The 27085-nt window shown below is 48.8% G+C and overlaps 1 protein-coding gene and 1 pseudogene across 2 annotated transcripts, besides 2 other annotated features; both read left to right on the forward strand.

Annotated features, from left to right (window-relative positions):
- The first annotated feature begins 17 nt into the window (after positions 1-17).
- MRFAP1 (Morf4 family associated protein 1) lies at positions 18-2062 on the forward strand. 2 transcript variants are annotated; one of them, NM_001272053.2, is made up of 3 exons: positions 18-41; positions 161-591; positions 1063-2062. In NM_001272053.2, the coding sequence occupies exon 2, from the start codon at positions 196-198 to the stop codon at positions 577-579; it is 384 nt and encodes a 127-aa protein (NP_001258982.1). In that variant the 5' UTR covers positions 18-41; positions 161-195; the 3' UTR covers positions 580-591; positions 1063-2062. The 2 variants fall into 2 exon arrangements, with proteins under 2 accessions (NP_001258982.1, NP_150638.1); NM_033296.3 differs by having other exon boundaries at positions 18-591.
- Positions 986-1055: a silencer, noted in NCBI's record as "silent region_15233". NCBI's record gives its function as "represses an Ori minimal core promoter by ATAC-STARR-seq in GM12878 lymphoblastoid cells {active_cell/tissue: GM12878}" and the evidence as "EXISTENCE:reporter gene assay evidence [ECO:0000049][PMID:35858748]".
- Positions 2063-17119: 15057 nt separating the features above from the next.
- Positions 17120-18482, forward strand: LOC124900840 (uncharacterized; annotated as a pseudogene).
- Positions 18117-18276: a silencer, noted in NCBI's record as "silent region_15234". NCBI's record gives its function as "represses an Ori minimal core promoter by ATAC-STARR-seq in GM12878 lymphoblastoid cells {active_cell/tissue: GM12878}" and the evidence as "EXISTENCE:reporter gene assay evidence [ECO:0000049][PMID:35858748]".
- Positions 18483-27085: the final 8603 nt, after the last annotated feature.

The raw sequence follows: 27085 nt of genomic DNA on the forward strand, positions 1-27085 counted from the left end.
TTGACGGCCGGGACTCCATTTTGTTCGCCGTTACTCTGCGCGTAAGTCGCTTGTCCGTGGCTTCTCTGAGAAGAAAAGTTGAAAAAGGGTAAAAGTTTTCAGGAATATTCGGGCTCTCTATTGCTAAGCATAGCGAGTGTCGGTTTTCTCTCTCCAACAGACATCGCTATTGCGGTTCCGAGGCAGTGGGAAGAGATGCGGCCCCTGGACATCGTCGAGCTGGCGGAACCGGAGGAAGTGGAGGTGCTGGAGCCCGAGGAGGATTTCGAGCAGTTTCTGCTCCCGGTCATCAACGAGATGCGCGAGGACATCGCGTCGCTGACGCGCGAGCACGGGCGGGCGTACCTGCGGAACCGGAGCAAGCTGTGGGAGATGGACAATATGCTCATCCAGATCAAAACGCAGGTGGAGGCCTCGGAGGAGAGCGCCCTCAACCACCTCCAGAACCCGGGCGACGCGGCCGAGGGCCGGGCGGCCAAGAGGTGCGAGAAGGCCGAGGAGAAGGCCAAGGAGATTGCGAAGATGGCAGAGATGCTGGTGGAGCTGGTCCGGCGGATAGAGAAGAGCGAGTCGTCGTGAGCGCGGTCGGCGGTAAGTCGGGCACCCGCGCCAGGCCGAGGAGCGGCCCCAGCTTGGCCGCTCTTCGAGAGCGATGATTTCATCGAGATGCACCGGAATCGGGGGTGGGGCGGGAGAATAAAGGCGTGCTCGGGTCAGGGCCGATCTGGGCCCCGTCTTCGTGTTTTGTTTTTTGACGGTGGCGGCGTGGGATAATCAGAGTGGCCGGGTTTGGGCGTGATGCGTGTTCAGTGGAAGGGTCATAAATCTCAGAGTCGCCAAGGAAACAGAAACGGACAAGGTCCCGGGCCGTCCAGCAAGCGGGGGTGGAAATAGAGGATTTTCGGGGAAGACGTTGGACAAGTCAACGTTGCTAGAGACTGGAGTGAGTCAGGTGGTGGCCAGAAGAGGTGGCGTCCTGCACAGTGGCGTTCGTGAGGGTTTGGGGGTCGTTGTGCCTGGGATTAACCTCTCGATGATGAATTTCTTCCCATTGTGCTTTAGGTTTCCAGCCAATGGATTCTGGTCAACTGGTGGAGATTGGCTGACACCCTGGAGAAGCCGAAACCAGAGAGCCTTTTGTTTTCTCTTTTTTCCTGTCTATGCTCTGTCTCACTTAACACTACGTTTTCTGCTATGGTCTGTGGTTGATGACCTCAATATGAGTTTCGATTGTTAACGTGTTTTTGTTTGGGAAGTAATTTTGTTTGAAAATGCTCTCACATACAGGAATTAGGGCCTAGATTGTAAGCTCTTGCAGCAGTCACATTTGTTCCCGGGCTTTGGTGGTTATTTCTAAATTTTTGAGGTGCTTTGCTATTTCTTGTGTGACCTGATAGCTCCCTGGAACTTTGGGTCTGTGTGTGACACATGAGACTCACAGTTGGAGTTCTCCAGCTCTGGAGGTGCTGAAGGAGCTGCATTAATTCTGGAAGACGACTCCATGCAGCAACTACTGAAGAAAGGACCAGACTTCAACGGGGAGTGTGGATGGGCCGACCTGGCTGGGACTCGTGAATCTGGAGAAGAGCTGGAGAATGGATAGTATTGTCTGTATTTGGAGACTTTAATTTCTGTGTGAGACCAAAGGAGGAGAGATGTGTTTTGTTCAAAATTTAAATTTGTTGTGGTACACTATCTTATGTAACCTGTCTGGTGAGTTTGTTTGGACAACCTAACTCAGCTTTATTTGACATGGAACCTAAAATAGAAGATAAGATCTTGATATTCTGTACAAGTTGATGTAATACCCTGATGCGTTTTAGAGGACTTGGCATAAAATGAAAGATTGGCAAAGGCCCTTGAGGGGCTTGGGGATGACAGTATGGAACTGTCTGCATTGGACCCTAAACTGGACTAGAAGAGGCATCTTCAAGGTTCATACGTTGTCCAGCTGTAAGTTCATTTGAGTAGCAGACCTAACAAATATTTGAGGTCAGAACCCTACCATGTTAAAACAAACAAAAACTTACCATGTTAATAAAAGTATTCATTTGCTTGAAAAGACGAAAGACCTAAAAGGTTATTGAGAAATGTTAGTCCTTTAAGAATGAAATCTGCTGTCTCCCAGATGGTTCTCACTGTCAAATGGAGGGTGAACATCTTAACGGTTTCTGAGGCTCTTAGTCTCTAATCAAAGGGAAGCTTTCTCTCTCTGCTGTTGGGAACCGGGTGAGGAAGAAACACACTTGGTTCTTAGTGTGGGAAGAAACCACATGTAATCCTGTGGTCCAGGCCTCTGCCTTCAGAGAGCCAAAGCACCTTCAGTCTTTCCAATTGGAACATTGTTTTCTAGGCCTTGCACTGGGAATATAGCGATTACAGTTGCAGGGTGAGGGATGACATAGAGGAGATGTGATACCCCACCCTCCTTCCAGATTGAAGCCTTTCTGCCTCAGCTGCTAGAAGTGTTGCTGACAAACACCCTTCAGCTGGTTAGCCCTCTGGGCAGTGCCTTTTCAGAGGAGAGCTGCGTTAGCCAAAGTCATGCCCTTTTCCCTGGGTAGCCTACATCTAGTGAGTAATGGGCTGGAAATCTCAGGTCGCTATTTCTCTTACCCCAATTTGGGACAACTTTGAGGGACATGGTGGCTTCTGAGCTTGTGGGGTCTGCTGAGGCTTTTGTTAGGATTACATCACGCAGCCCACCTCCTCCCCCGTCCCAGCCTTGCATTCCTCCTCTTCCACAAGTGTTAATCCCTAAAAAACGTGCATCTAGTTTTCATCTTGGAGTCCACTTTCTGGGCAACCTAGTTGGTAGAAATCAAACAAAGCCATGTGTCCCTAGCACTAATAAAGATAGAATGTCCCAGGAGAACACTTGAGGGGGAGGTCTAGGAAAGCTTTCCAGAGCAAGTAACTCTTTCAGAGCTTGGCCTTGAAAGAGGAGCACAGCTTCCGAGGTCAGGAAGAGCAGGAGAGGCATGCTAGGCACAGGAAACAATGGAAGATGTTCAAGGTTTTCTGTGTGAGTTCCACACAGAGGAGGGAGAAGAAATGTATAGGACAGAATTATGAACTGGGAAACAACCACGAAAACTACATTTCGTACATTTGCCAAAACAAGAAATGTAACATTGGTACAACACTACCAACTAGACTTTTCTCTGCTTTCACCAGTTTCCCCACTAAGGCCCTTTTTCTGTTCTGGGATACTACATTGCATCGGGAAGTCGATTGTTTTCAATGAGTAAGATTTATAAATGACACGAAAGTGATCCTTCATCTCTCCCCAGCTTCCCAGTTCCCCTCTCAGGAAACTAGAAGTTTCTTATACATCCTTACAAATACTAATGTGTTTGAACGGCTTCCACTTTTTTTTGTTTTTGGTGAGACAGGGTCTCTGTGTCTCACAGGCTGGAATGCAGTGTTGTGACCACTCACTGCAGCCTTGACTTCCTGGTGTCAGGTGATCCTCCCACCTCAGCCTCCCTGGTAGCTGGGACCAGGCATACACCACCATTTCTGGCTAATTTTTGTATTTTTTTTTTTTTTTTTTTGTGGAGGTGGGGTTTCGCTATTTGTCCAGGCTGGTCTTGAACTCTTGGGCTCAAGTGATCACCTTAGCCTCCTGAGTAACTGGAACACCACCGCGGTTAATTTTTGTATTTTTTGTAGACAGTTGTTTGCCATCTTGGCCATTTTGGTCTCAAATTCCTGAGCTCAAGCCATCCACCCACCTTGGCCTCCCAAAGTGCTAGCAATACAGGCATGAGCCACTGCGCCCAGGCCACCTGTTTGTTTTGTTTTGTTTTTTACATTAATGGTAGCACACTGTATAATCTGTTCGTGTCCTTCATTTGTTTACTTGGAAGTCTTTTCCTATCTAACATCTAAATCTGCATTCTTTTTTTTTTTAAGGCTGCATAGTGTTCATTCTTATGCCAGAGTTTGAAAACTATTGTCCTAAAATCTTTCCAGTAACTCCTTAGTTCCTCTTTTTTATGATTCTGGTCACAACTGCAATGCAGCCACTAATTCCCAATTGCCCCAGCTCCTGAATTTCATACTCCTGGCTTGCTAGCAATTGGAGGAGCAATCCAATCTTGCATTTTCTAAGCAAAGAATGTGGTAAGAAGCATTCTGAGAGACAGTCTTACGTGGCTGTACAGTCATTAAATTTTCTGGCTGGAGTTGCCATATTTATTTATTTGTTTATTTATTTATTGAGACAGGGTCTAACTCTGTTGCCCAGGCTGGAGTGTAGTGGCATGATCTTGGCTCACTGCAACTTCTGCCTCCCAGGGCTCAAGCAATTCTCCTGCCTCAGCCTCCCGCGTAGCTGGGGTTACATGTGGGTGCCACCATGCCCTGCTAATTTTGGCATTTTTAGTAGAGACAGGGTTTCACTATGTTGGCCAGGCTGGTCTTGAATTCCTGGCCTCAAGTGATCCACCTGCCTTGGCCTCCCAAAGTCCTGGTATTACAGGATGGCAGAGCTGGAAATAACCTCAGAGAGCAATGAAGCTTTTCTGGGTTAAAATGTAGAAGTCATTAGTGCTGTTCACCAAATAAATTCCAATTCTCTGCCTTCTAGGCACAGAGTAAGATGGCACTTTCTGGCCCCCTTGGGGTTGGGTGGGCCCACGTGATTAATTCTGGCCGATGAGCTACAAAGGAAACTTACATCTGTTGCATCCAACCCAGAACCTCCAAAGCAACACCCTGCAGAGCTGTCTCTTCCCTCTGGCACAGGAACCAGCAACATTCCAGATGGTGGCTGAGCTTAATGACCACAGTTCCCTACCAATCTATGATGAGTATATACCACAAACAAGGAAAAACCTTAGTTGTTTTAAGCCACTGAGATTTGGGGATTGTTTGTTACAATAACAACTTAGACTAAGATGACTGATACAGATATTCATTATTTCTTCCATTCCTTGTGTTTTGATGAAAGGGTTGTTCTCCCTTCTACCTGAGGCCCGTTGATCACATCCCTCCCACTAGCCCAGGCATTGTCCAACAGGTTATCTTCTGTCTCTGGCTTTCACGTGGAGCTCTTGACTTTCCTCTGCCTTCTAATGACTTCAAGGTGAAAGAAAGCGCTAGTTCAAACTCCTACTCCTGGCCATTCTCCCCCTTCCAGGCAGCAGGTAAACATGGAGTGGCTTGAGTTTCTACCATCTTCCAGAGATAAATGGGGATTTATTACCCTGGTTAACACTGTGGCCAGGTAAATCTACAAAATCCATCCAGTGCCTGCTTCAGTCACTGCCTGATATGGTTTGGCTGTGTCCCCACCCAAATCTCATCTTGTCCTGGGAGTGACCCGGTGGGAGGTCACTGAATCATGGGGTGGTTACCCCCATACTGTTCTTGTGATAGTGAGTTTCCACGAGATCTGATGGTTTTACAAGGGGCTTTTTCCCCTTTGCTCTGCACTTCTCCTTCCTGCCGCCATACGAAGAAGGACAGGTTTGCTTCCCCTTCTGCCATGATTGTAAGTTTCCTGAGGCCTCCCCAGCCATGTGGAACTGGGAGTCAATTAAACCTCTTTCCTTTATAAATTATCAGTCTCGGGTATTTCTTCATAGCAGCATGAGAACAGACTAATACACAGCCCAGCATATGTTAGACCCTCTCTGAGTCAATTCTCTTTTCCCCGTCTCTGATTTCCATAATGTTCTGTGGTACCTATTTACTGGTTTATATCCCCATTGCTTCCTCCTTCAAACTCTATACCATGGTTCACAAAATCCTGCATTCCATTATTCCCAAATTAATCCATATTATTCTTTGCCTCTTCAAAGAACATTTCTTTACCAACTCTTAACAGCTGAAACTAGATTTTCCCCAAGCCCTGGGCTTCCCTGTAGCCTTGTTGGTGATGGTTCCTTACAGCACTTGCCCACTGCCTGGGGCAGATACTGCGTTCATCAGGACTGCATTTTTGCCAGAGAGGAGTGAAAAAAGAAAAAAAGAGCTTAGGGTTTTGACAAGGACATCACTGCAACAATACATGATGTACTCTGAGTGGGGAAGTATGGAGGTGAAGAGCAGGAGAGCAATAGGCGAAAGTAGCTGGTAAAGTGAATGGAGATCCCAGCATGTTAGTGACTACAGTGAAAGTGTCACCTGGAGGATGGGATGTGGCCAGAAAATAGGAGGGCTGATATTGGAAAGCAATTTATCATATTAAAAACTCTGATTGTCAAATAAAATGTATCTGTGGATGACATCCTGCGAGCTACGTGCTTCTGGGGCCTCAGATCAATTCTTGTTTTAACACCTGTGAAGCATTTACTATGTGCCAGTTACCTACAATTCCTCAAAAGCCTTTCACGACCCCTCAGTGGGGCAGATGCCATTATTAAAATTAGTCTCGTCTTATCAATGAGGCACAGAGATATTAAGTAGGCCAGGTCTGAGACAATAACAAGCCCCAAGTCACTCTTGGGAGTGAATGGCCAAGCAGGGTGGAGGAGCTCCTTGGATATGAGGGCCCAGGTGTGGGGCTGGTGGCTGTGTGAGCATGGAATTCGCTCAGGACGATGGCAGGGCTTGGGGTGGAGGGGAAGGCCAGGAGCCAGGTGCCCAAGTTTGCAGTGAATGACGGGACTCCAATGGGGTGAAAAGAGATTGGAGGATGACAGAGGTGAGAAGAGGGAGAGGACAGTCAGATGACCAGGGAGTGCTCCCAAGGAGCACCATTTTGGACAAGAGGGAGGAGAAGTAGAGTGTGGACATGGCCTGGGAGAACACTGCCCCCAAATTCTGATTGACACACGAGGGACATATAGAAATGAGTGGCTTTTCCCTCACAGGCCTGAGGATGAAATAGCACTATTCTCAGGGGTAAGGTCGGGGGAGGGCAGAGCTCCTCCAAGAAGTCAGGCACATGCTGGAGGCCCAGGAACAGGTTTGGGGGTGAAGAGGAGTGGAGAACATCACTGGAAACTTGTCCTAGGCTGAGTTCTCCTTGGTTCATCAATGGGAGAAACAGCAGTGACAGGCTAGTAAGTTTAGTCCTGAATTTAGTCTCTTTGAGGGAGGACAGGCATGGCCTTGGTGTGATCGCTATGGAGGCAAAGATGTGGCAGTTGGAGACTGTCACTCAACTGTGCTTCCTGCAGTAGCTTCTATGAATGAGCTTGGAGAGGCACCACTGCTGGTCATTTGGGGCCTCACAGGAAAGGGGTTCTGCATCCCAAACCCAAAGAGTTACGGGAGATGGCTCCAAAAGAAGCCATCTTACAGGGAAATGAGACTGAGGCCCCAAACCTTTCTCAAGCATCTTCAGTAAAGGTCCTTCCTCAGAAAGTGAGTGCCAGTCACGTGGGCAAACACCAGCTGATGACTGTCACCTTCCTGTCAAGGACACTGGCTCCACAGGGACACCACTGGGAAAGCAGGGGAAGGACAGAGCGCAGTGAGGAAAATGCCGGCATCTTCACAAGATTTGGGCTGTGGCTGCCTGCACATTGGGGCTGGCTGACAGCAAACAGGCAGGAAGCATCTGAGCGGGTCTTGTTTGTGGTGTTTTTTTTGTTTGTTTTTTTTTTTTGAGATGGAGTCTCGCATTGTCGCCCAGGCTGGAGTGCAGTGGCATGATCTCGGCTCACTGCAAGCTCTGCCTCCCGGGTTCACACCGTTCTCCTGCCTCAGCCTCCCGAGTAGCTGGGACTACAGGCAGCCGCCACCACGCCCGGCTAATTTTTTGTAATTTTAGTAGAGAAGGGGTTTCACCATGTTAGCCAAGATGGTCTTGATCTCCTGACCTCGTGATCCGCCTGCCTCGGCCTCCCAAAGTGCTGGGATTACAGGCATGAACCACCGCGCCCGGCCCCCTTGTTTGTGTTTTTATTTCTTGTTTTCCTTTTGTTTTTTTGAGACATGGGGTCTTGCTTTGCCCAAGCTGGAGTGCAGTGGTCTGATCACAGCTCACTGCAGCCTTAACCACCCAGGCTCAAGCGATCCTCCTGCCTCAGCCTCTCCAGTAGCTGGGACCACAGGCATGTACCACCTCACCTGGCTAATTTTTTTATTTTTATTTTTTAGAGAGATACGGTTTCCCTACGTTGCCCAGGCTGGTCTCAGACTCCTGGGCTCAAGCAATCCTCCTGCCTCAGTCTCCCAAAGTCATCCGAAGGTTTTGAAGGAAATATATGGCCAAAGAAATTCCAAGGTGAGTCTGCTAAAACTTGGGGTTGTTCAGCCCCTGAAGGAAGTGCTGAGCCCCAGCACCTGCACCAGCATGAAGAAGGCTTCAGAAACTGCAAAGCCCCTGGAGGGGGCAACCTCTGAGGCACATTTCATACAAGGCCTGAGAAGATAATAGATAATAAAGTCTCCCTGAGGCAAAAGCCAGGGACCTAGAGGGAAGGAGGCAAAATAGTTTCTGCTAGAGAGCAAGACCTTTGATGATCCCCAAAGGCCATAGGCACCATGTATTTCCCATTCCTCCCTTTTCCTCCCTATTCTGTGTGTTAGAAGCAAGCCAGCCCATACTCCAGGAGAGAAGAATTATGCTCCACCTACTGAAGAGATGAGTAGCAAGAAGATTGTGGACATATTTTTTTAATCTTTTCAAATTCCTTTTTATCATGTGGACGTATTTTTAAAACCACCACCACTATTGTCGTTATGAGGTAGGGGGCGGGACTCGACTCTGGAGGCAGGGTTTAGACTCCAGACCAGACTGAGACTAGCTGAAACAAGGAAGAGTTGGAAGCCTCTCCATGAGACACGCCCACCAGTGCCATCAGTTTACCATTGCCATGGCAACCCCCAGAAGTTACAGCCGCTTTCCATGGCGATGACCCAATGACACAGAAGTTACCACCTCTTTTCTAGAACTTTCTGCATAATCTACCCCTTAATTTTTTTAGTGTATTACTTTATTTATTTTTTCTTTTTATTGAGACAGAGTCTTGCACTGTCGCCCAGGCTAGCGTGCAGTGACGCGATCTCGGCTCACTGCAACCTCCGCCAACCAGGTTCGAGCGATTCTCCTGCCTCAGCCTCCCAAGTAACTAGGATTATAGGTGCCTGCCACCATGTCCAGCTAATTTTTTTGTATTTTTAGTAGAAACGGGGTTTCACTATGTTGGCCAGTCTGGTCTCGAACTCTGACCTCATGATCTGCCCACCTCAGCCTCCCAAAGCGCTGGGATTTCAGGAGTGAGCCACCACACCCAGACTTTTTTTTTATTTTTTGAGACAGAGTCTCCCTCTGTCACCCAAGCTGGAGTGCAGTGGCACGATCTCAGTTCACTGCAACCTCCACTTCCTGGGTTCAAGCAATTCTCCTGCCTCAGCCTCCCTAGTAGCTGGGATTATAGGCATGAGCCACCTCACACCCAGCTAATTTTTGTATTTCAGTAGAGACAGGGTTTCACCATGTTGGCCAGGATGGTCTCAAACTCCTGATCTCAAGCAATCCACCCACCTCAGCCTCCCAAAATGCTGGGATTACAAGCATGAGCCACCGCACCTGGCATCTACCCCTTAATTTGCATGTAATTAAAAGTGGGCATAAATATGACTGCAGAACTGCCCTGAGCAGCTCCTCTGGGCTCACTGCCTATGAGCACACCACCTGTGCTGCTACTGTGCACTGCTGCATCAATAACTCTTGCTGTCTACCACCACTGGCTCACCCTTGAATTCCTTCCTGGAGGAAGCCAAGAACCCTCCCAGGCTAAGCCCCAATTTGTCCTGCATCAGTTATATTCCCATGATATGATGTCTCTGAGACATCATAGATTCAAAAGAATCTAAACTGCCAACATTAATAATAGTTTCTAGAGTTTCAAGGTTTCTAGACACAAAAATCAATAAAAATCAGTAGTGTTTCTCTTTACCGGGAACGAAGAGGAAATATATTTTCTGAAAGGTACCACTGATAATAGAACCCAAAAACTTTTTTTTAATGGTGTGTTTCCTTGGGATACCATAACAAACTGCCACAAATTAAGTGGCTTAAAACAGAAATTTGTTTTTTCATAGTTCTGGAGTCTAAAATTAAGGTGTTGGCAGGGCCATGGGCTCTCTGAACCATCTGGGCAAGAATCTTTCCTTGCTTCTCCCTGGCTTCTGGTAATTGTCAGCAATTCTTGGCATTCCTTGGCTTGTGGCTGCGTCAGTCCAGTCTGCCTCCATTATCCCATGGCCTTCTTCCCTTTGTCTTCATGGAAGGACACCAGTCATTGCATTTAGAGCCCGCTCTCATCCAGTCTAACCTCATCTTAACTAGGTCTGCAAAGAACCTATTTTCAATAAAGTCACATTCTAAGGTTCTGGGCAGAAAAATTTTGCAGGGACATTATTCAACCCAGTACAAATGGTTGGAAAATATATATTCGTATATATTAAATTTTTAATATGTGAAAAACCATTATGCATAAAATTATGTTGAAATACATTAAATAATGACAAAATAGATTAAGAAAATTAGTATCATAATTATTCTCCAAACTGCTCCCACAAATCAAGGCAGTCCCAATAAAAATCTCTTCAGATGGGTCTGTTTTGATTGTTTGGGTTGAATTTACAAAAAAAATTAATTTGAGGGCTGAGTACAGTGGCTCATGCCTGTAATCCCAGCATGTTGGGAGGCCAAGGCAGGAAGATCACTTGAGGCCAAAAATTCAAACCCAGCCTAGGCTACATAGTAAGACCCCATCTCTACCAAAAAAAAAAAAAAAATTAGCTGTGTGTGGTGGTGCATGCCTGTAGTCCCAACTACTCAGGAGGCTGAGGCAGGAGGATTGCTTGAGCCTGGGAGTTCCAGGCTGGAGTGAGCTATGATTGCACTACTGCACTCCAGCCTGGGCAACAGAGCAAGGCCCTGTCTCTAAAACTAAAATAAAAATAAAAACCATGAATTTGGCTGGGCATAATGGCTCACACTTGTAATCCCAGCACTTTGGGAGGTGGAGGCAGGCATATCACTTGAGCCCAGGAGTTCAAGATCAGCCTGGGCAACATGGCAAAACCTAGTCTCTACAAAAAATTTAAAAATTAGCTGCATGTGGTGGCAAATACCTGTAATTCCAGCTACTCTGGAGGCTGAGGCAGGAGATCTCTTGAGTCTGGTGGGTGTGGGGAGGAGCACAGGGAACTCACAAATTTGAAATTTAGATGGACAAGCAGAAAGCCAGGATATTCCTGCAGTAGCACCAGATGGGAGGCCTTGCTATACTTTACCAAATATTAATATTTATTATAAAGCTAACAGTAATTAAGTCAATGGAGTAATGGCCCAGAGATAGGTAAAGACCAGTGGAACAGAGTATACAGCCCAGATACAGATATGAGCAAATATGGACATACGATACCTGACACACGTTACACAGCAACCCAGAAAGAATGGATAAAACAGTCAGCATGGGCCCACCGCGGTAGCTCACGCCTGTAATCCCAGCACTTTGGGAGGCCGAGGCGGGCGGATCACGAGGTCAGCAGATCAAGACCATCCTGGCCAACGTGGTGAAACTCCGTCTCTACTAAGATACAAAAAATTAGCTGGGCATGGTGGCACATGCCTGTAGTCCCAGCTACTTGGGAGGCTGAGGCAGGGGAATCGCTTGAACCCGGGAGGTGGAAATTGCAGTGAGCCAAGATCTCACCAGGCTGGTGACACAGCAAGACTCAAAAAAAAAAAAAAAAAAAAAAAACCACCACCAACAACAAAAACAGTCACCATGTAGGGCTAGGACAAATGGCTATACATGTGGGGGAAACTGCAATTAGATCCCTGCCACAAACATCACAAAAAAATTATTTTCAGATGGAGTAACCCACAGATATAAAAAACTAATTATCTAACTAAATACTTTAGAGAACTTAAAGGAAAATTTGTATGGCTTCAGAGCATGAAAGGCTTTCTTTACAAGACAAAAAGCAAAAAGCAGAAAAGACTGATATTTTGTCTTCACCAAAACTAAAATCTTAACTTATACATGAATGCTGATGGCAGCATATACTAGTCAAAAGGCAGAAACAACCCAAATGGCCACCAACAGAATCAACTGATGAATGAATAAACATTCATTCATAAACTGCGGAATAGCCATACAAAGAAATATTATTCAGCCATAAAAATTAACAAAGTATAGCCAGGCACAGTGGCTCACGCCTGTAATCCCAGCACTTTGGGAGGCTGAGGCAGCAGATCACCTGATGTCAGGAGTTCAAGACCATCCTGGCCAACATGGAGAAACCCCGTCTCTACTTAAAATACAAAAATTAGCTGGTGTGGTGGGGCATGCCTGTAGTCCCAGGTACTCAGGAGGCTGAGGCACGAGAATCGCTTGAACCTGGGAGGCGGAGGTTGCAGTGAGCCAAGATCATACCACTGCACTCCAGCCTGGGTGACACAGTCAGACTTTGTCTAAAAAAAAAAAAAAAGAAAGAAAGAAAGAAAGAAAAAGAAAAGGCCATCTTCAAGCCAGGGAGAGAGGCCTCAGGAGAAGCCAACCCTGCTGGCACCATGATCTTGAACTTTCAGGCTCCAGAATCATGAGAAAGTAGATTTTTGTTGTTTTAAACACCCAGTCTGTGGTATTCTGTTACGGCAGCCCTAGCAGACTAACACATATGATATGTACAGACAGGTAAATCCACAGAGACAGAAAGGAGATGAGTATTGGCCATTGGGTAAGGGGAGGCAGGATGTGGAGTGATTATTATATGAGTACTGGGTTTTGTTTTGTTTTGTTTTTTTGAGATGGAGTCTCACTCTGTCGCCCAGGCTGGAGTGCAATGATGCAATCTTGGCTCCCTGCAACCTCCGCCTCCCAGGTTCAAGCGATTCTCCTGCCTCAGCCTCCCAAGTAGCTGGAATTATAGGCACCCGCCACCACGACTGGCTGATTTTTGTATTTTAAGTAGAGACGGGGTTTCACCACGTTGGCCAGTCTGGTCCTGAACTCCTGACCTTGTGATCGGCCCACCTCGGCCTCTAAAAGTGCTGGGATTACAGGCGTGAGCCACCGCACCTGGCCTTGAGTACTGGGTATTTTTATAGAAAGATGAGAAAGTTTTGAAACTAGAGAGAGCTAGTGGTTACACAATATTGTGAATACACTAAATACCACTTAATTGTACACTTTAAAGTGGGTAATTATGTTACATTAATTTCACCTCAATTTTTAAAGAAGCCAGAACAGTCCAATTCATGGGACAGAAAGTAGAATGGTGGATGCCAGGGGCTGGGGGAGGGAGGATTGGGGAATTAATGTTTAATGGGGACAAAGTTTCAGTTTGGGAGGATGAAAAAGTTCTTGAGGCAGATGGTGGTGATGGTTGCACAGTTTGAATGGACTTACTGCCACTGAACTGTACCCTTAAATGGTTAAATGGTAAATCTACTATGCATATTTTACTATAATAAATTTATTTTACTTTTTTGCAGTCAATTTTTAAGCTAAAATATGGTGCTAATCAAAGGAACCATCATCAAAGTGAAAAGTTGAGCTGCATTCTGTGCTATCTTCTCGATTTTTCTATAAACCTAAAACTGTTCTAAAAAATAAAGTCCATTTAAAAGAAAATAGTCAAGCTTCAATTGGGAGAAGATATTTGCAACACACACTCTAGAGGAAATATTAAAGAGAATCCACCAAAATGTATAAAAAGATAGGGTTAGAAAAAAAGCCCACATTGCCAAGTCAATCCTAAGCCAAAAGAACAAAGCTGGAGGCATCACGCTACCTGACTTCAAACTACACTACAAAGCTACAGTAACCAAAACAGCATGGTACTGGTACCAAAACAGAGATACAGACCAATGGAACAGAACAGAGCCCTCAGAAATAACACCACACATCTACAACCATCTGATCGTTGACAAACCTGACAAAAACAAGAAATGGCGAAAGGATTCCCTATTTAATAAATGGTGCTGGGAAAACTGGCTAGCCATATGGAGAAAGCTGAAACTGGATCCCTCCCTTACACCTTATACAAAAATTAATTCAAGATGTATTAAAGACTTAAATGTTAGACCTAAAACCATAAAAACCCTAGAAGAAAACCTAGGCAATACCATTCAGGACATAGGCATAGGCAAGGACTTCATGTCTAAAACACCAAAAGCAATGGCAACTAAAGCCAAAATTGACAAATGGGATCTAATTAAACTAAAGAGCTTCTGCACAGCAAAAGAAACTACCATCAGAGTGGACAGGCAACCTACAGGATGGGAAAAAATTTTTGCAATCTACTCATCTGACAAAGAGCTAATATCCAGAATCTACAAAGAAATCAAACAAATTTACAAGAAAAAAACAAACAACCCCATCAAAAAGTGGGCGAAGGATATGAACAGACACTTCTCAAAAGAAGACATTTATGCAGCCAACAGACACATGAAAAAATGCTCATCATCACTGGCCATCAGAGAAATGCAAATCAAAACCACAATGAGATACCATCTCACACCGGTTAGAATGGCGATCATTAAAAAGTCAGGAAACAACAGGTGCTGGAGAGGATGTGGAGAAATAGGAACACCTTTACACTGTTGGTGGGTCTATAAACTAGTTCAACCATTGTGGAAGACAGTGTGGCTATTTCTCAAGGATCTAGAACTAGAAATATCATTTGACCCAGCAATCCCATTACTGGGTATATACCCAAAGGATTATAAATCATGCTGCTATAAAGACATATGCACACATACGTTTATTGCAGCACTATTCACAACAGCAAAGACTTGGAATCAACCCAAATGTCCATCAATGATAGACTGGATTAAGAAAATGTGGCACATATACACCATGGAATACTATGCAGCCATAAAAAAGGATGAGTTCATGTCCTTTGTAGGGACATGGATGAAACTGGAAACCATCATTCTCAACAAACTATCACAAGGACAAAAAACCAAACACCGCATGTTCTCACTTATAGGTGGGAATTGAACAATGAGAACACTTGGACACAGGAAGGGGAACATCACACACTGGGGCCTATTGTGGGGTTGGTGGGGAGAGGGGAGGGATAGCATTAGGTGATATACCTAATGTAAATGACGAGTTAATGGGTGCAGCACACCAACATCGCACGTGTATACATATGTAACAAACCTGCAAGTTGTGATCACATACCCTAGAACTTAAAGTATAAAAAAAAAAAAAGAAGATAGGGTTAGAATTAGGGTTAGGAGAACCCAGAGGAGAATAATAAGGTGGGGGCACGGCTTTGAGGGTCTTCATTCATTTTTATCCATCCTTAGACTTTCTGCAGACTAAGCTTCAAGTTTTCAACTGCTGCTACAACAAATTATCACAAATTAACAGCTCAAAATAACACACATTTATCATCATAGTCCTGAAGGTCAGAAGTCACGAATGGCTTAGAAGGTTTCTCTGCTCTAGGTCTCACAAGGCCAAAATCAAGGTGTTGGCTGGCTGGGCTCCTATCAGGAGGCTCCAGAGAGAAACCGCTTCTAAGTGCATTCAGGTTGCTGGCAGAATCCAGTTCCTTGTGGTTGCAGGCTGGGCTTCAGCTGGGGGCCACATTTAGCTCCTGGAGGCCTCCCTCCTGTCCTTTCATGTGGCCACCTGTGTCTCAAAACCAGCAGTGGTTTGTCAAATCCTCCTCATTGTCCAACCCCCCGCCCCGCCCCGCCCCAGCCACAAAGCTGTGAAGCTAGGGTCCAAACCCCCCACATCTCAGAGTCAGCACAGGCAGGACCAGTCATCTCCTGCTTGGAATAGCACGGATTTCTTCTGCCAAATCTCTCTTCTGCCTTCGTTTTCTATCTCTGACTCCAGCCTAGGAGCGTTTTTCACTTTAAGGACTCAGGATTAGGCTGGGCCTACCTGGATAATCCAGGCTATTCATTCTCCTTAAGACCCTTAACTTTAATTACATGAGCAAAATCCATTTTGCCATGTAATATGATATATTCGTAATTACAAAATATGTCATATAATTTATAACACAATCACAGGTTCCAGGGATTAGGATGTGGACTTCTATGGGGGTCACTCTGCCTGCCACACCTCCCTAGAGGTGATGGTACCCAACTCCACTAAGTTCAGGTGGTGGCACAGGCCAAGAGAGCTACCCTCAGGCTGATTGGCCCTCAGTCCCCCAGCCAGCAGGTTGTGAAGCCAGGGTCCGAATATTGGATGTAGTTCCCACACGACTCTGAATGCACTGTGTAGTCTAATGACTGTCATAGTAGCGATGCCACCTGCCTCTGCCTGGTGTTTTGGCAACTGTACAATGCACTGTCATGCCTTTTTTTCTCACTTCTCTCACAGTCACAGGGGCCTACCAGCTCCATTTCACCCCTAGAGAACTGAGTTTCCAATCAGGGGCACTTGTGCAAGCAGGGTCTCCCCAGTCTTTACCATTAGCCCGTTTGTGGGCCACAGACCAGGAATATAAACGTATCTTTTTTTTTTTTTTTTTAGACAAAGTCTCAGGCTAGTCACCCAGACTGGAGTGCAATGGCTGGATCTCAGCTCACTGCAACCTCCGCCTCCCGGGTTCAAGCGATTCTCCTGCCTCAGCCTCCCGAGTAGCTGGGACTACAGGCATGCGCCACCACCCCCAGCTAATTTGTGTACGTTTAGTAGAGACGGGGTTTCACCATGCTGGCCAGGCTAGTCTCAAACTCCGGACTTCAGGTGATCCGCCCACCTCGGCGTCCCAAAGTGCTGGGATTACAGGCCTGAGCCACCGTGCCCGGCCTTAACATATCTTCTACCCCCTCCAGACAGCATTCTTTAGGGTAAACAAAATGTACCGAGCCCCTGCTGGGCAGCCAACCCTGGCGGAGACGTGCGGACAGATTCTACCTTCAAAGAGCTGTCCTGGGAAATGCCACTGTTTGGTAACAATTTTGTTTCCAAAAACCTCGCCTGGCCTGTGTCGGGCCGGCGGAGACAAGCCAGCGGTTCCCTGGCGAGGCGGGGACGGTTTGAGGTGCAGCCGTGGGTTTCGTGGCCCTGGGTCACGGTATTCGGTGCAACCTTCCGTTTCTGGTGCAAAAATCACTCGCAACTGAGTGTTAAAACCCCAACCCTGGAATCCCTCTCAGACTCCACCCCAGAGCCCGCGCAGGCGAGGGCGCGTGGGGGAAGGGGGACGAGAGCGCGCCATGGCGCCTGCACGATACGGGACCCCGCCCGAAACCCCCGTGGGCGCGTGGCAACCTGGAGCTGCCGTGAAAGGAGCTTCGAGGAGGCCCCGCGGCGGCTGGCAGCGGGAAGGCCATTTGGGTGTGGCCTTCGCTGTTTCAGGGCTGAAAGTTTTAGAGTAAAATTTTATCTAAACTAAAAAGGAACTTCAAGAACTTGTCGCGGGTGACAGCGAGGTGTCCGCGCACGGCTGGTGGGTGCCCGGCTGGCCCGGGGCGGGAAGGGGCGGCGGCGCTGTGGCCTTGCGTTACCGTGAGGAGGGCCTTGAGTGGGTTGTCCTGGTCCTTGGCCTTTTGAACAAAGCATTGAACAAAACGCACAAACAAAGTAACAAAGGAATGAAACGCAGGAACAGAAGCAGGGAAAGCAGCAATTTCTTAAAGCGAGAAAGCACCCACAGGGTGGGAGCGGGCCCGAGCAAGCAGCTCAAGGGCCAGTTAGAAAGTTTTCTGGGCTTTAAGTACTTCATTTGAGGTTCTTACCAGCTACCTCTTATGTGGATGAAGGTTTTGGTTTGTGGCTAAAGGCTGGGGTGAACTGGCGCCCTATGCGGATGAAGGGACGGTCCCTGCATGGCTCTTGGCCACTCCAAGGCACGCTCCCTTTCCATCTGGGAGGAGGCTTGTAGGGAGAGTAGCCTTTGATGCTTTACTACTCCCAATGGGGAGATGGTGCTTTTCCTTTTGGTTTGGGAAGTTTGAGTTAATCAGCCTCAGATTCTCTGCCCCAGACCTTGGTGTTTTCCCTTGATTCAGCTTTAGGAAGTCAGCAGGAATCTGCCTTAAGTTCCCTACCTCCAGACCCTGTTCTCCTGCCTGACGTGGACACGGACCAGGCGAGAGCCCGCAAAGACCCAGGTGGCCCGGCGCCCCGCGTGGGCGGCGAGGACCTGGCCTCCCTGGAGTGCGAGCGTGCCCGGGCGCACTAGCGGGCCCGCAGGGAGCTGCTGGAGATCCAGAGCCTGCTCGACGCCATCAAGAGCGAGATGGAGGCGGAGGAGCAGGGCGCCCGGGCCCCAGCACCCAGCCCGCGCGCGGAGGCGGAGGATCTGGTGGCCAGGCTGTGCGCCGAGGCGGAGAGGAAGGCCGCGGAGGCGGCGCGGATGGGCAGGCGGATCGTGGAGCTGCACCAGCGGATCGCCGGCTGCGAGTGCTGCCGAGCCGGCGGGGCAGCGCGGGGTGGAGCTGAGACCGGCGGGGAGTTTCCCGCGTGGAAGGCGCTGGGCAGGCAGGGAGGGGTGCGTAGAGCCGTGCCACGCTCTCCGCCAAGGTATACTCTTTTTACGTAGGTAAAAGAAAATAATTTCATTTCTTAAAAAGAAAAAAAAAAGGAGAAACAGAAACCCAAAGACCTTTAGCAGTAGAACAATAAAGGGCATAGAGCTGCCATGTCGCTAAGGGGGTTAAACCATTTCTTCTATGCCGTAAAGCTAAATATCAGGCGGAGAACAAAATTTAAAAGTGTGTGAGTCGGGCGCTGTGTCTCATGCCTGTAATCCCAGCACTTTGGGAGGCTGAGGCAGGAGGATCACTTGAGCTCAGGAGTTCGACATCAGCCTTGACAACATAGTGAGACCTCTCTCTACCAAAAATAAAAAACAATTAGCCAGATGTGGTGGCACACACCTGTGGTCCCAGCTCCTTGGGAGGCTGAGGCAGGAGAATTGCTTGAACCCGGGAAGTCAAGGCTTCAGTGAGCTGTGTTCAGGTCACCGCACTCCAGCCTGGGCAGATTGAGTCACCGTCTGTAATTTAAAAAAAAAACAAAATACAGGCCGGGCGGGGTGGCTCATGCCTGTAATCCCAACACTTTGGAAGGCTGAGGCTGGTGGATCATCTGAGGCGAGGAGTTCAAGACCAGCTTGGCCAACATGGCGAAACCCCATCTCTACTAAAAATATAAAAATTAGCTGGGTGCGGTGGCGGGCGCCTGTAATCCCAACTACTTAGGAGGCTGAGGCAGGAGAATCGCTTGAACCCGGGAGACGGAGGTTGCAGTGAGCTGAGATCGTACCTGTGCACTCTGGCCTAGGTGACAGAGTGAGACTCTATCTCAAAAAAAAAAAAAAAATGTGTGAAACGTAAGGCCATTACTGAACATTTCTAAATTTTGCTGGGAATTTGGAGTGTTTTGCTTGCCCTTTTCTGCCAGAGGTGGCATTCTGCTGGCAGAATTGCAGTTTTCACCCCAGGACAGTGAATTCTGACTCAGAGTGTCAAAGATAAGGAAAGCCAGGAGACTAGTCAAAATGGTAAGGACAGATTTTATTCAGTAATGACTTGCAACAGGGAAGAGAGTCCAGCGTGAACTAAACTGAGCTTTGCCAAAGCAAAAGGCAGGAGACTTTTTCAAGGTTGGAGTGTGCTAGGGGAAAAGCACTGAAGGGTGAAAAAACAGGTTTGATCCACCTCTCTAGGCCATCTGGGTTTGCTAGTTAGTGCTTATCCAGAGGAGAAACAAAGTTCTCCTTTCTTAAATGGGAGAAGTGGTGTGTTGGAGCAAAGCTTCCACTGAAGATAGGTCCTCATCCTCCCACTGGGACTGGGAGGAAGAAGGAGGTTATCTCCTTACATGTTTGAGTTTCAAGGAGCCAAGGGAGAAAAGAAGAAGGAGGAGGCGGAGGAGGAGGAGGAGAAAGAAGAAGAAGGAGGAGGAGGAGAAGGAGGAGGCAGAGGAGGTGGAGGAGGAGGAGGAGAAAGAAGAAAGAGGAGAAGGAGGAGGAGAAGGAGGAGTAGGCAGAGGAGGAGGAGGAGGAGAAGGAGGAGGCGGAGGAGGAGTAAGCAGAGGAGGAGGCAGAGGAGGAGGAGGAGAAGGAGGAGGCGGAGGAGGAGTAGGCAGAGGAGGAGGAGGAGAAAGAAGAAGAAGGAGGAGAAGGATGAGGAGGAGGAGAAGGAGGAGGAGAAAGAAGGAGGAGGAGAAGGAGAAGGAAGAGAAGGAGAAGGAGGAGAAGGAAGAGAAGGAGGAGGAGGAGAAGGAGGAGGAGGAGATAGAAGAAGAAGGAGGAGGAGGAGGAGAAAGAATTTTTTTTTTTTTTGAGACGGAGTCTCACCCTGTTGCTAGGCTGGAGTGCAGTGGCGCAATCTCTGCTCATTGCAACCTCCTCCTCCTGGGTTCAAGCGATTCTCCTGCCTCAGTCTCCCGAGTAGGTGGGACCACAGGCATGCACCATCACGCCCAGCTAATTTTTGCCTTTTTAGTAGAGATGGGTTTTCACCATGTTAGCCAGCATGGTCTTGATCTCTTGACCTCATGATCCACCCACCTCGGCCTCCCAAAGTGCTGGGACTACAGGTGTGAGCCACCACGCCCAGCCGAAGAAGAAGAAATTTTCATCACGATTGTCTATTGATGAGATGGTTGGTCTTATTTTTTGTTTTTGGAATTTCTCAATAGTTTTAACTTTTCCTGCTTCTGTGCATTTTGCTATGTCACATGGGACCTAATCACTGTTGGACACTTTGGGACAAGCAGGAAACTTGTGTCAGTCCTCAAACCACAGAGTTGTTGAAGGAGCTCCACCTGTTCCATTGGAAGATGCCCCTGGGAAATGAGGTGGAAGACAGTTTTGTATGCAGTTTAGAACTTTCTCTGTGAGAACAGATGAGATTTTTCCTCTTAAGTTAAATCATGTCATTTGGTGCACATTGTGTGACTTCGCAGGTCAGTTTGGACAACTAGCTACGTCTAATTTGACTTGAAACCTACATATGATGGAGTGCTTTCTTGTGTTTTGTCTGTGGTTTGACTTAGGGTCAGCTTCCTTGAAGGATCTCCCTAGTGCATTTCAGGCCCTGTGGGGCGTAGAAGAAGAGAAGTCTGAAAAGGGCCTTGAAGATCTCTGGGAAGCAATCGTGGTGCTGGCGCTTTGGTCTTCCTTCACGGGGTCATAACCTACCTGGTTAGGCCCATTTGAATAGACCCCACAGGGATTTGAGGTTAAAATACCATATGTGGCTGGGTGTGGTGGCTCATGCCTGTAATCCCAGCACTTTGGGAGACCAAGGTGGGAGAATTCCTTGAGTCTAGGAGTTTGAGACCAGCTGGAGAAACATGGTGAGACCCCCCACTCTACAAAAAAAAAAAAAAAAATTAGCCAGGCATGGTGGCACTCACCTGTATCCCAGCTACTCAGGAGGCTGAGGCAGGAGGATCGCTTGTGCCTGGGAGGTTGAGGCTGCAATGAGCTGAGATCATGTCACTGCACTCCAGCCTGTGGGTGACAGAGCAAGACCTTGTCTCAGAAAACAAAACAACAAAACAAAAACAGCACACCCACATGTAATAATGGTTGTTGCTTGTAAAAATGTAAAACCTAAAAACCTATTTTTATCCAAATGAACCAAAGCCCTTAAACTTCACCAGGAAAAAGAAAATAAAACATGTTTCTGAAGATCACAGTGTCTGTCTCATTGTCCTCAAATGCAGTAAACTGCGGGTTATAATGCATTCAGTGAAGCTGCAATTGGAAGAACAGATAATCCCCAGGCATGGAAATGAGGTTGGAGTAAGAGAGAAACTGGCACACTTCAGGCCCTAGGTACCTGTGTTCAAAAGCACTGGCTACACGATGCGCCCAGACCCTGGAGGAGGAATACAGACATGAGACCTGGTGGTAAAGACAACAAAATAATTCAAAGACAGCGTGCCAGGTGTCACACATGCAGGCAGTAACTCTATTGAGGGGCATCTTATATGCCAGCTATTGTTCTAAAATAGAACAGTGTTACCGCCCTGATGAAGCTTACATTTTAGAGCAGGGAACCTTCAGAAAACATATAAATATGTCCTGTGGTGACATGTTTGGTGGGTAACAAAAGGCACTGTACTGCTGGTAGACATGTAAGATGTAGGAGGAAGGTGGAGTAAGGATGAGGTGGCCCAGACTGCAGCTGAATCTCCGGTCCACTGCCGACTGACTCACTTTGTAATGTTTCGCAAGTCTCTTCACCTCACTTTACCCCTTCTATAAAATGGGTATACTCAAGAGTAGCTACCTCATGGGGATATCAGGAAAATTAAATGAGTTGATATTATGTCAGTGGGCCACAGTTGGCTGATCCCTGGGTAGATTTCTGTTGCAGCAAAGCATTCTCTGAAATGTCATTTAGTTAGGAAGGTTATTAGTGAGTGCTCTTAGGATCCACCCCTGTGGGAGGGAAGGAAAAGAACCAGGATGGGGCGAAGGAGAAGTCTAGCTATGATGAAGGTTCAGCAGACGCTTCAGCCAACTCTCTAGGGAGTTCTGAAGACGGTGTGACAGGCAGCCTCTAAGATGGGCCTCAGCAATCCCTGCCACCTGGCATTCAGGTCTTTGTAGAATCTCTGTTTTGAGAGTGGGCCAGAGTTATTGACTTGCTTCTAGTGGAGAATTCTGCAGAAGCGGTGGGATGTCCTGGCTTCCACCGTGTACGCCCTCTCTCCCTCTCAGCATTGCTCAGCCCGGGTATAGCAGACACCGTGCTGTGAAGCAACCCAGTGTAAAGGCTGTGCGGTTTGGGACCAAGGACTGGCAACAATCACAGGCTTGATTTTCGAAAAGGTCGCCCCTCACCATCCCAGTTGAGCTTTCAAACTACAGTAGCCCAGCCAACATCTTGACTGCAACCTCCAGAGACCTTGAGCCAGAGGCACCCAGCTAAGCCCTGCGCAGCTCCCTGACCCATGGAAACTGTAAGGTAATAAATGTTTGTTTTAAGCTTTTAAGTTTTGCGAAAATGTGTTATGCAGCAATGGGTAACTAGGACGGTTTGATGGCTCTTCAGAGCCCTCCCCACGTTGGGGTGAGAGGACTGGGCTTTCTACCTCTGCAGAGATCAATCACCAAATGCAGCTGCCCCAGGAAGGATGGGGTGACAATCTCTGAAGATGGCTGCTGGCTTGGGGCTGTCTCAGCAGCTGGAATAAGACCTTCATTCCTAAAGGGCAGTCTGAGCCATGTGTCCTCCATAGCTGCCAACGTTCTGAGGCTCTAGACTGTCGCCTGCTCAAGTTCACCAAGGTTTGTAGACACCGTTAGAGCCAAGGCTAGCTTGAACGCTCCTATGCTTGGGTTACCTGCTTATTCTTTTTCCTATTTGGCCTCTAAGGAGTCCGTATTTTTTTCTTCCAGCTCAAGTCCCGGAAAGCAGCCGCGCGTGGGACAGTCGCCCTGGCCGCTGGCCGCCGGGCCCCACGGCGCCGTCCGTCCCCGGCCCCAAGCCTCCCTGAGCCTGCGGCCGGGGTTCCCTCCTGGCCGACCCTGGGCCTGGAGCGAGGGGGCGCGGACATGCGGAAGGGGACCGCGAGGCGGGTGCGCCCGGGACCCTGGGTTCCGGGTCCTGCGTGCCGTGCTCGTCCAGAGCCGGGAATGTTCGCCTCCGGGTGGGGCCCTGAAGCCATAGCGGGGGTCGCCCCCCTGTCGCCTCCTGAGGGCGCGCGCCTCGTGACAGGGGCCTTGACCTGGTAAAGCCAGAGCTCGGGGAGCTCCGCCGTCTCCTGGCACCCAGGTCTCCTCGCCAAGCCTCCGCGGGCCTCCTCCCTGCCCTTCTCCCGGGCCGATCCTACTTTCTTTAAAATTCTTGCCGGGCGCGGTGGCTCATGCCTGTAATCCCAACACTTTGGGAGGCGGAGGCGGGCGGATCACGAGGTCAGGATATCGAGACCGTCCTGGCTAAGATGGTGAAACCCCGTCTCTACTAAAAATACAAAAAAATAGCCGGGCGTGGTGGCGGGCACCTGTAGTCCCCGCTCCTCAGGAGGCTGAGGCAGGAGAATGGCGTGAACCTGGGTGGCCGAGCTTGCAGTGAGCCGAGATCGCGCCACTGCACTCCAGCCTGGGTGACAGAGCGAGACTCCGTCTCAAAAAAAAAAAAAAAAAAATTCTTTGTGGGTGATGCAGGTTCAGGAACCGCTGCACACCGAGCGCTTCCCGCGCCGCCTAGAGGTGATGGGAACAGCTCCTGAGGAAGGTGGCTCAGCCTCGGCCTGCAGCTCCTCCCAGGCCTCCCGCTCCCTGCGCCCAGCGGCTCTGGCCCGGCCGCGCACGCTCACACGAGCATTCACACGCACACTCATCATGCCCACTCACACACACTCATGCTCACACTCACGCTCGCACGCACACATTTACACACTCATGCTCACACACATACACAGGTTCACACATGCTCACATACATCCGTTCACATTCATGCTCACATGTACACTCATGCGCTCACACGCTCACACTCATACACGCTCACATAGTCATGGTCACACTCACACATACGCACACCCACTCACTCATGCTCACACATACACCCGCTGACACTCATGCTCACATGCATATGCACTCACATGTGCACTCACATGCTCAGTCATACACGCTTACACACATGCTCACACAATGTCACACACATACACACATTTACACTCGCTCACACTTATACCCACATGTATGCACATGCACACTCACACTCATCCACACCCACAATACATGCTCACACCCGTTCTTACTCATGTTCTCACACACACCACTTACATTTATGCTCACACCCATACACTCACATGTGCACTCATGCTCACATTCATACAGGCTCACAATACACAAGCTCACACTCATGCTCACTCCCACACATACATATGCTCACACTCGCTCACATGCTCACATGCGCATTCACATGCTCTCAGACACCTGCTCACACCACTCACACATGCTCACACTCACACGTGCACTCATGCTCACTCATACACATACATGCATTCGCATACACACACTCGCTCACACACCACTCATGCTCACACACACGCATACTCACACTCACTGGGTGATAGTGCAGTCTCCTCCCAGGCCTCCTTCCCGCTCTCCGCGGTGCTTTTTTTTTTTTTTTGGAGACGGAGTCTCGCTCTGTTGCCCAGGCTGGAGTGCAGTGGCGCGATCTCGGCTCACTGCAAGCTCCGCCTCCCGGGTTCACGCCATTCTCCTGCCTCAGCCTCCTAAGTAGCTGGGACTACAGGCGCCCGCCACCACGCCCGGCTAATTTTTTGTATTTTTTAGTAGAGACGGGGTTTCACCATCTTAGCCAGGATGGTCTCGATCCCCTGACCTCGTGGTCCACCCGCCTCGGCCTCCCAAAGTGCTGGGATTACAGGCGTGAGCCCGCGGTGCTTTTATCACAGTTCAGAAGCCTCAGCCACTTGACTGCAGCTCAACCCCACAGTCCCAGGCTGTTCCCCTTGCCGGGAGCCGCTGCTGGCGCGCCTGAGGGTTCAGCGTGGGTAGGTAGGTGCAGCCCACCCCCAGGGTGTGCCCTGAGGGTTCACCGGGGGTGGGTAGGAGCAGCCCATTACCACAGTGCAGCCTCACTCTGTGCGACCTTCACAGGCCAGGGATGCTGCAAATTTGGTCTTCTGAGTCCACCCCAGAGGGCATTCTGAGTCCCCCTCTCCGCTGCCCACCCCAGTTTGTCGCCATGTTGGCTCCTTGCCTCTCCTGCACCTCGGCTCTTCCTTTAGGTTCTGGCCCCTCTCGTCACCTCAGGCCCGAAACCTTTGGAAGCCTTAGTTCCTCCACAACGTCTTAACAAACTCACCCTCCTTCACCAAAGGGGAAGACGGGGTGGATGAGGGGATAAGAAAACCCTGTCTCATGGCAAGAACTTTTAAATATACTGAACGTGAAGCGGAAGCAGCCAGCCTGGGTGAAGACAGGGGATTTGTGGTCATGCCTTTGGTCTCATTTTTTTTTTTTTTTTTTTTAAGACGGAGTCTAGCTCTTTCGCCCAGGCCGGAGTGCAGTGGCGCTATCTCCGCTCACTGCAAGCTCCGCCTCCCGGGTTCACGCCATTCTCCTGCCTCAGCCTCCCGAGTAGCTGGGACTATAAGCGCCCACCACCGCGCCCGGCTCATTTTTTGTATTTTTAGTAGAGACGGGGTTTCACCGTGTTAGCCAGGATGGTCTCGATCTCCTGACCTCGTGATCCGCCTGCCTCGGCCTCCCAAAGTGCTGGGATTGCAGGCGTGAGCCACGTTTTCCTGATAGCACCACCCTAGGCTTACCTCTGTCCAGAAACCATTTCTTTTTCTTTTTTTTTTTTTTTTTTTGAGACGGAGTTTCGCTCTTGTTGCCCAGGCTGGAATGCAATGGCGCCATCTCGGCTCACCGCAACCTCCGCCTCCCGGCTTCCAGCGATTCTCCTGCCTCAGTCTCCCGAGTAGCTGGGATTACAGGCATGTGCCACCACACCCGGCTAATTTTGTATTTTTAGTAGAGACGGGGTTTCTCCATGTTGATCAGGCTGGTCTCGAACTCCCGACCTCAGGTGATCCTACTGCCTCGGCCTCCCAAAGTGCTGGGATTACAGGCGTGAGCCACCGCGCCCAGCCTCAGAAACCATTTCTTAACGTTAGCATTCCTTGCCATCCTGAGAGGCTGGGAGGGAGAAACAGTGGTGATTACAAACCCACAAGCCCCAGATCCTTCAGAGTTAAGAGTTCCGCTTGCATTTTACTCTAAGCAACCAGAGGTCAGGCAACTCTTCAGCAGTGCCTGGAATCCGTTTCATAAGTACATGCTGTCTCTTCCACGTTTCTGCAGAGTTTAGGTATTGCTAAACTCTGCTTCTGTGTAACAGGGACCCCTTTCCTCCTGTTACTGTGTCCCCTCAAAATCCATGTTGAAATCCTACCCGCAATGTGATGGGGTTAGGAAGAAGCTTTTGGGGGTGGCAAGGTCATGAGGGTGGAGCCCTCATGCATGGGATTAGTACCCTTATCAAAGGGACCCCAGAGAGCTCCCTCGCCCCTCCTGCCATGTGAAAACACAGAGAAAGGGCTCTCCCTCCCCAAACACTGAATCTGCCAGCGCCTTCATCTTGGACTTTCAGCCTCCAGCGCTGTGAGGAACCTTTGTTTCTAAGCCCCCCAGGCTATGACATTCTGTTACAGCAGCCTGGTGGGCTGCAGCACCT

The sequence above is a fragment of the Homo sapiens genome, chromosome 4 (genome assembly GCF_000001405.40).
Source record: "Homo sapiens chromosome 4, GRCh38.p14 Primary Assembly".
Taxonomy (NCBI): Eukaryota; Metazoa; Chordata; class Mammalia; order Primates; family Hominidae; genus Homo; species Homo sapiens.